At 42.5% G+C, this 9,782-nt stretch overlaps 1 pseudogene, besides 1 other annotated feature; it reads left to right on the top strand.

Moving 5' to 3' along the window:
- Positions 1,142-1,311: an enhancer, noted in NCBI's record as "experimental_14780 CRE fragment used in MPRA reporter constructs". NCBI's record gives its function as "activates a minimal promoter by MPRAs in K562 erythroleukemia cells, with activity observed for the introgressed 10:66807548 variant allele {active_cell/tissue: K562}" and the evidence as "EXISTENCE:reporter gene assay evidence [ECO:0000049][PMID:34662402]".
- Positions 7,492-8,443, top strand: NEK4P3 (NIMA-related kinase 4 pseudogene 3; annotated as a pseudogene).

Genomic DNA, 9,782 nt, shown 5'->3' on the forward strand with positions numbered 1-9,782 from the left:
ACCTCCACAAGAAGGAAGTCTCAAAACTCAAAACTTTTATATACTAAAGTTATGTCATAAATATTTACCTCTTTCTGTTCACATCCATTTCTACTCTTATGCTCTGCCCATATCTCAAGAGTAGTCTCATTCAAACTACATTTTGAAAGTATCTTTCTCCATAAGCACCTTTATCCACTGCTTTCCTTGCTCACTGCAGCAGACTATATTCGTCCAATATAGTGTATGGCACAAGTGTGTAGAGTGGGAGGAGGGGAGGAATCAGATTCTTCTCTCTTTATGTTCTGACAGTCTCTGACAGTGACTGTGTTTTCTCTGTGTTTCTATTATCCACCTAATGGGTGTGTTCAGTCCGTTGATGGGTCACAGTCAAATGATCACAACCAAGGAAGATTTAACAAGGAAATTTTATTACTTGCAACAAGTAAGGAGAACATGGGGGATAATTTCCAAAGCAATGCCTCTCCAAACAGCAATAAAAACAGAGCTTTTATTGGGCTGCTTGGCTGCATCATTGTATGTAGAGGTGGAGTAAAGGCAGCACAGGTGCAGTAATCAATAATGCTTCTGTACATCCATGTACAGAAAAAGGCAAAGAAGCTTCTCCCTGGGTGGGGATTTAAGTATGGTATTACAGAGAGTACACTGAAGTTCATTTCCAACTCAGGTGTCTCTGGATACAACCTTGCTTTAACAGGGCTGGGCTTTTCCCTGGAACTTTTTGAAGCAACAAAAACTCAAGGTGCAACAGTTACAAGTGGGTACTTTTTCACAATATGTATCTGAAACCCAAGGCACCCTGGATTACAGTTCTAGCCCTTGCTGGGAAGACACTTCCACCATATTCAGCCTCCCTCTGGCAGCTTGTACCTTGATTCCAGCTCCCGCAATCAAGTTAGAACATTACTTTATTTGTATTTCCAGATGTATGAGATCCTACTGCTTCCTACTGTTGCTAATCTTTCAATTGTTTGGGTTATTAAATTTCTTCCACTGAACTTTCTATTATAGGCTCTCTTTTCTAGTCTGGATCCTGAAGTAGGTGCTCACATCCACTTCTATACTGGTTTCTGATTCAAGCAGCAGAGATAGCAGTTTGAATAGCTGCAAACCCGTGTGTAATGACTAATACAATTAAAAGAGGTAATATACTTTCTGGCATCTCATAGAATAGAGTGATGTCCAGTTGCTCAGGGAGTCATTTTAAATTAATTGAATTAGATTATGATGACTCTTAAATTGAGACTCATTATGATCAATTGTATAGGTTATATCAGATCTATTTCACTCCAGGTCTTTGCTACATAGTAATATATAAATGCAATATTGAGAAAACCAGTTGAGTGAGGATTTACTACAAACAATTTTCTTTTAGAAGGAGATAAATCCTCTTCGCATGTTGTCTCAAAGTAGCTGTTTATTTGTAACTGTTGAAGGAAAACTATTATAAATTAAAACTTTTAAGTAAGTCACAGGATTTGTAATCTCTTTCTCTCTGAAATAATTGTTGTTATTAGATTCTATAAATATTTAGAAATAGCAGATTTGCCTCAGGAAACGTAATAAGACTGTTCTTCTTTTCTCATAAGATATCTGTAACATGATTTATCTAGTCAGTGTGGAGCCTACAAACTTTCCAAGAAATTCTAATCAATATGATGCCCCATCTCACTTATTACCTCCATTTTAAAATAAGGAATGATGTTAACGTAGTTACATGGAACATAGAATGTATCTGAGTCAAAGAAGAGTTTTACAATCGAATATGTTTTTTCATGAGGAATTCATCCCATTTCATTCTGTGTTTATTTTTTATTTTATTTATTTATTTTTTTGAGATGGAGTCTCACTCTGTTGCCCAGGCTGGAGTGCAGTGGCGCCATCTCAGCTCACTGCAACCTCTGCCTCCTGGGTTCAAGTGATTCTTCTGCCTCAGCCTCCAGAGTGGCTGGGACTACAGGCACGCACCACCACGCCCAGCTAATTTTTGTATTTTTAGTAGAGATGGGGTTTCACTATATTGGCCAGGGAGGTCTCAAACTCCTGACCTCATTATGCACCCACCTTGGCCTCCCAAAGTGCTGGGATTACAGGTGTGAGCCACAGCATCCGCCCACTTAATTCTTTATGATAGATTTCATCATTTTTCTAAACATGTGTTGCTCCTCATTTAACAATGCATATAAATTTCCACTCTGTTAATCTCAGGAATGGCCGCATGACCCACTTGGTCATCATATGTGAGGGAAATGATATGCCATTTTGAGCAGAAAAATTAAATACCACTTCACTGTTATATGCTGATGAGAATTTGAGATTTTTGTTTATATAGCACACACTACCTTATACTGACTGATCTAATAATTCACATACAATTATTGAGTATGAGACAGGAAACTATCTTTAGATGTAGATTGGACCCCACCTTCATTCAGGGCAGTTGTCAGTTTAGTTGGCTTTCCTATCTCGAATGCAAAAGAGTTGGCTTAAAACTAATCATCCTGAAAGTTCTTTCAGTTTTAAAATTATATTATTTTATCTCTACTGAGTATTTCTGAAGTGTCTTATAAAAGAAGAATTTTTCCAACAGCTGTTCTTAATACATTCTCTCTCTTTTTAAATAACCTGAGTAAAAGTTGTTCTATTATAATTGCTGTTTTGTAGAGTATAATTTTGTCTTTATGAACAGTCCCAAAACTTTTAACAGTATGTAAGTGACATCTGAAAAAAATTACCTTTTAGGGTTTATTATGTTTCACAGGGCCTAGTTTGACTTCTAACTGGTAGGTAACTTAGCATTTATTTAAGATTGTGCTTTGAATAAAAACTGACTTTAGATATATACGCCTACGAATGTACTTAACAGTATTGCTTCCAAAATTAATGATAATTCTATATTAAAGTTTGTATATTTAAATAAAACAAGTGCTAAAGTTTACTCAGAATGAACATGAAGCTAGACTGTAATCCTTATGAGGTTAACCTTTTTTTTTTTTTTACAATTCCTCATAGATAGTTGGTACTCATTAAAAACTATGTTAGTGAATGACATTATAAAGCCAGAATACAGATTATCTTTATTGGAGATATAAAACAGTCATCTCTGATTTTGTACACGAAAATGTTTTTTGAGCCTAGAAAATACAAAAATGTTAGTTCAGGGATAATGAGTTAAAAATATTGCTGTGCTGCTAGCATTAATTAACTCATTTTTCATGCATTTATTCATTCACTTGAAAATATTTGTTGAGTTTTTTATTGCTAGGTGATATATTAGGTATTGTGGATACCATAAAACATAGATCAAAACAAAGTTTTCTTATTTATTATTAATAAGATGTTAATTTTTTATGATTTCTGATTTATTGATTAGAAAACAACATTACCTTTGGAAAGGATTTATTGAAAATCATGAAGTTATATTATTTAGAAAATAAAAGTTTGTATTAAAAAATTATACAACCAAAATATCAATAGTTACATACATTTGCTTTGACATGTTGTTCTTAATGGTTGCTTCACATGAAATAATTAAGTGATCTCAAAACTCTGCACACAAGTGACTTAATTAAAACATATTGCTACCTAAGGAATAAGGAATCCATTATTTCATCACTATCATAGTCTTGACAATCTCAATAATTTTAGACCCTATAAATGTTTCCTTGAATCTCAAGACAGAAGATGATGTGATGGATGAAATATCATCTTTCTTGCTGATGAGAAGGAACTAGATAATGTTTAAAAAATTATTCTTAAAATAGCAATCAAATCACAGAAACTGATGCAAAATAAAAATGAATGGATTAATTTTAAGAAATATTTAACATTAGGTTTGTAATTATTGATCCCCTACACAGTTATTGATCCATGTATATGAGCAAACAAATACATTGCCTTGATACTACTATAATAATTTAAATTAATATCCTTTTTATAATAACTCCATTAACAAGTAAATAGAACATGGTAAGGATAAACCAGACTCTGTGCACCTCATTGATTAGCCATGCTTAGTCATATCTTTTCTACTCTGCATGATTCTTCTTTTTCTTTTTTTTTTCCCCCTTAAGTGGAGTCTTGCTCTGTCACCCAGGCTGAAGTGCAGTGGCCTGATCTCGGCTCACTGCAACATCTGCCTCCCGGCTTCAAGCGATTCTCCTACCTCAGCCTCCCAAGTAGCTGGGACTACAGGCACGCACCACTACACTCGGCTAATTTTTGTATTTTTAGTAGAAATGGGGTTTCACCATGTTGGCCAGGATGGTCTCGACCTCCTGACCTCGTGATCTGCCCACGTCAGCCTCCCAAAGTGCTGGGATTACAGGCGTGAGCCACCGCACCCGGCCTGTTTTCTCTTTTTCTCCACATTGAACAACCCACTCCAAACCCCCTTCCAACATGAGTTCTAACTAAATCATTTATAACTTACTTCACTTGCTACTTCCTTTATATGCTTCTTTTTACTATTTTCTACTTCTGCCAAAATAAAGGAAGAAAGACCTTCCTTTCTACTTAAAGTTGCATGTCGTTTCCAAATTCCGGTTACAGCGTATCACATTTCATTGGACATATTTCTTTTTTTTTTCCTCAGACGGAGTCTCGCTCTGTCGCCCAGGCTGGAGGGCAGTGGCACAATCTCAGCTCACTGCAAGCTCCGCCTTCTGGGTTCACTCCATTCTCCTGCCTCAGCCTCCCGAGTAGCTGGGACTACAGGCGCCCGCCACCATGCCCGGCTAATTTTTTTGTATTTTTAGTAGAGATGGGGTTTCACTGTGTTAGCTAGGATGTTCTCGATCTCCTGACCTCGTGATCCGCCCACCTCGGCCTCCAAAGCGCTGGGATTACAGGCGTGAGCCACCACGTGCGGCCACATTGGACATATTTCTAACTCGGAAAAGTTGCCCTATTAGTAGCTATTTTAACTAACAACATTTCCTATTGTATTACTAACATTTCTTATACTATTAAATTTCTGTTGGAAGAAATATTTTTTGGTTATGTTTATGCGCTCAGAAGATGAAAGAATGGTAGATTGTAGCTCTCTCCCTCTCCCTCTCTCCCTCTCCCTCTCTCCCTCTCTCCCTCTCCCTCTCTCCCTCTCCCTCTCTCCCTCTCCCTCTCTTCCTCTCCCTCTCTTCCTCTCCCTCTCTCCCTCTCCCTCTCCCTCTCTCCCTCTCCCTCTCCCTCTCTTTCCACGGTCTCCCTCTGATGCCAAGCCGAAGCTGGACTGTACTGCTGCCATCTCAGCTCACTGCAACCTCCCTGCCTGATTCTCCTGCCTCAGCCTGCCCAGTGCCTGCGATTGCAGGCGCGCGTGCCGCCATGCCTGACTGGTTTTTGTATTTTTTTTTTTGGTGGAGACGGGGTTTCGCTGTGTTGGCCGGGCTGGTCTCCAACTCCTAACCGCGAGTGATCTGCCAGCCTCGGCCTCCCGAGGTGCCGGGATTGCAGACGGAGTCTCGTTCACTCAATGCTCAATGTTGCCCAGGCTGGAGTACAGTGGCATGATCTCGGCTAGCTACAACCTCCACCTCCCAGCCGCCTGCCTTGGCCTCCCAAAGTGCCGAGATTGCAGCCTCTGCCCGGCCGCCACCCCGTCTGGGAAGTGAGGAGCGTCTCTGCCTGGCCGCCCATCGTCTGAGATGTGAGGAGCCCCTCTGCCCGGCAGCCGCCCCGTCTGGGAAGTGAGGAGCGTCTCCGCCCAGCAGCCGCCCCATCCAGGAGAGAGGTGGGGGGCAGCCCCCGCCCGGCCAGCCACCCCGTCCGGGAGGGAGGTGGGGGCACCTCTGCCCGGCCGCCCCTTCTGGGAAGTGAGGAGCCCCTCTACCAGGCTGCTACCCCGTCTGGGAGGTGTACCCAACAGCTCATTGAGAACTGGCCATGATGACAATGGAGGTTTTGTCGAATAGAAAAGCGGGAAATGTGGGGAAAAGATAGAGAAATCAGATTGTTGCTGTGTCTGTGTAGAAAGAAGTAGACATGGGAGACGCCATTTTGTTCTGTACTAAGAAGAATTCTTCTGCCTTGGGATGCTGTTGATCTTTGACCTTACCCCCAACCCTGTGCTCTCTGAAATGTGCTGTGTCCATTCAGGGTTAAATGGATTAAGGGCGGTGCAAGATGTGCTTTGTTAAACAGATGCTTGAAGGCAGCATGCTCGTTAAGAGTCATCACCACTCCCTAATCTCAAGTACCCAGGGACACAAACACTGCGGAAGGCCGCAGGGTCCTCTGCCTAGGAAAACCAGAGACCTTTGTTCACTTGTTTATCTGCTGACCTTCCCTCCACTATTGTCCTATGACCCTGCCAAATCCCCCTCTGCGAGAAACACCCAAGTATGATCAATAAAAAAAAAAAAAAAGAATAAAAAAATAAAAAAATAAATTCCTACTTTAAACTAATGATGAAAAAATGAAGACAATTCCAAATATGAGAAATGAAAAGAGACATACAAAGAGATATACGAGACTTTTTTTATTTCGCAAAATGGTACATGTTAACTCTAAGTTGGAAAACATGGATCACTAAGTGATTTTGCGAAACAAACAATAAAATCATTAACACAGAAGTTATACCAAAAATGCAAAGGAGACTTCCCACCTCTGCACAAAACAACAAAAGCACAAAAGTTGTTAGGCTGAGACATTTCAAAGTAAATTATTTTATTACCTCAAGAAAAAGATCATATAAAAGCTATCAGTTCCAGGAAAGTTTCCAAAATGTTTAATCAAGTCAGCGTAAAAATGATACCAAAATCTAGGAGAAAACGCGTAATAAAATAAAATGCTGCAAAAACAGAGTTCATCCTCAGTTATATCAGTAAAATATCCTAAATAACATTCTTGCCAGTAGAATGCAAAAACAGAGACAGAGTAAGAAAGGACACCGAGCAGGAGCCCACGAGGTTCACAGTAAGAAAACAAGTGGCTGAGCAGCCAGAGAGAAAGCAGCCCGGGGATTCTGCCACGTGACGTGCGGTGGACCCAGCCGCAGGGACTGGGCACGCTGCCCGCCCTTCAGCCTTTCAGCCCCTCACCCGCGTCAGCCCCTCAGCCACCTCAGCCCCTCAGTCCCTTCAGCAGCGTCAACCGCCTTATCCCCTCGGCCCCTCAAGCCCCTCACCAGCCTCAGCCCCTCAGCCGCCTCAGCCCCTCAGCCGCCTCAGCCCCTCAGCCGCCTCAGCCCCTCAGGCGCCTCAGCCCCTCATCCCCTCAGCCCCTCACCAGCCTTAGCCCCTCAGCCGCCTCAGCCTCTCAGCCCCTCAGCCGCCTCTCAGCCCCTCAGCCGCCTCAGCCCCTCAGCCCCTCAGCCGCCTCAGCCGCCTCAGCCCCTCAGCCCCTCAGCCGCCTCAGCCTGTCAGCCGCCCCCGCCGCCGTTAGCTCACCCGCCCGGCTGCCTTAGGGATTGGCGCTGCCCAGCGGGCTCCAGCGCAGGCTCCAGCTCAGCCTCCTGCCGGTTTTCCCACCGGTGGCTCCCGCCACTGGCTCCTGGCCGCCGGCTGCTACCCGCGCTCCGTGGGCAGGGCCAGTCTGGGGAGCGGACACCGAGGGGCGCGGCGGGATGGCAGGCGGTGTCCAAAAGCCTCTGAAAGCCGCAGCCGGGCGCGAGTCGCTGACCGACCGGGAGGCCCCGATCTGTCCCAGCCAAGGCCTCCCGGCGCCATCACCCACCAGGAGTCCCGGGCGGGGTCATCGCTCCCTCCACGCTGTCGCGGGCTTCTGCCAGGCGGTGATCCGTGCCCAATGCCACCAAAGGGAAGCTTGTACCCAAGAGTGGGGGGAAATGCATCCTTCACGGGGATCTGAAAACTCCAGGTCCTCCTCCCAGGAGCCCACGGCCTCAGATGGGGCCCAGGACGCGCCCGCGCTGGGGAAGCGCCCCCTCCACCTGAGCCCGAAATTGTCCCTAACAAACCCAACACCCGCAGGGCTGAAGTTTGGGCTCCGGGGTGCGGTGTCCATGAAATGGGCACGGCGTGCTTTCCATGCAAAAGACACGAAGTCTGGAGTTTATGAAATTATTGAAGGAAAGCCGCGCCAGTGCCAAGAGATCATGGCCCAGAGCTGGCAGAACTGATCAGACCAATGCTGAGCAAAAGGCCTGAAGAAGACCATCTGGAGGAGCATCCGGAGGGCTTTCCCCAAAGCACCAGATCGCCTTCCTTTCCGAGGCCACAAAGGCGAGAACCTCCAGAAATAGCATGAAACACTGTGACTTGGTGACATCCAAGCCTGCTGCTCCTCTGAGGCCTGAGCAAGACATCGATAGTGGGTGAAGGCAAGTGTTTGTCCCAGGAGAGGCCCAGGGTGGTTGGTCCCTTGAAGTCAGCCGCCAGTCTGAAGGCCCAGGGGACTTGAGCAATACCAAGAACTGGCCACGGTCAGTAGGGTAAATATTGACATCTTAGCTGCAGAAGGGAGGGATGCAGCGAGCGAGGGCAGAGGCTGCAGTGAGCTGAGATCGCACCACTGCCCTCCAGCCTGGGCACAAGAGCGCGACTCCATCTCAAAAAAAAAGAAAACGAAAGAAAAAGAAAAGAGGAAGAAAGCAAATGTATTGTCTTCAGTGGTTTGAAATAACAAAAGCTGATTGCCAAATACAGTATGTGAAATAACTCCTGCTTAAATTGTTTAAGAAAGAAATGATACAGGGCAAACACAATAAATTAGTCTTGTGTGAAAAAAAAAAAAGAATGGTAGATTGTATACCATTCAAACATTAGTACTTTGAAAGAACAATTGAACACCAATTAGGCAGAGTAGTCACATTTTAATATAAAAATTCATGTAGTAATAAGTTCCACTTTATAACCCTGGTCAAGAATCCAACATTCCTTGATGTCGCCTGAAAATTTCCACTATATTGCTTCAAATCCAACATGAAAAAATTGTAAGTCCCTCTTGTGCTGACCTTCTCCTTTAAACTTGGGCTTCTCTCCTAAACTTGCCATGATATTAATTATTTCTGTTCATGTTTCTGTCAACATTCTGTTTTTAAATAAAACAGTGTAGATTTTTTTCAGCTTCTCACTCCTGTATTCTCAAATTAAGTTGAATCTATCAATTAAATAATGTTTCTCCAATTCCATAATTTATTTTCCTGCCTATAACTATGAGCATAAGAAATTTCTTCTAAAAAAAAGTTCCTTCTATATTCTAACTTAGACTTTAGAGTAGTCTTTAAATGGTTTTCCTATTGCCATTCCACATCTCTTCAATATTACTTAACACTATAAAACTATTTTCCCCTAAAACATAAAAACAATCCTATTAATATTTTGCATACCTGTCATTTACTCTTAATTGCTTATAGAAGAGAAAACAAATGTCTTTGATTACATATATGATTTTTATTTTCAACAAATAAAAACACATGCTTTTGCCTACTTTCCTAGACATATCTTTATAATTCAAGTTTTGAGTATATCTATATATGCACATGTGCAATCTGCTTAATAATTCATTGACTAAATGAGTAGATGACTATTTTTTGGTATCTCTGTATTACATTAATTTTTAAATGACAAGCAAAAAATTATTTTATTCTGTGAAAAGAAGTGAGTTTTCAAATGTAGTCTACTAGAATGTTAACAAAAGTGTATTGTTTTAAAAACAATAACTGAGTTATAGAATATAACTACCCAATCATTTTTCTGACTTTTAAACTGACCTCAGTAAGAAGAAACTGGTCAAAGAATCTTGGCAATATAATTTTACCACCTTTTTGGTTATTTTACTTCTGATACTTTGTGAGTTTTCTCATTTCTAATAAAATCCTC

The sequence above is a fragment of the Homo sapiens genome, chromosome 10 (assembly GCF_000001405.40).
Source record: "Homo sapiens chromosome 10, GRCh38.p14 Primary Assembly".
Lineage (NCBI taxonomy): Eukaryota > Metazoa > Chordata > Mammalia > Primates > Hominidae > Homo > Homo sapiens.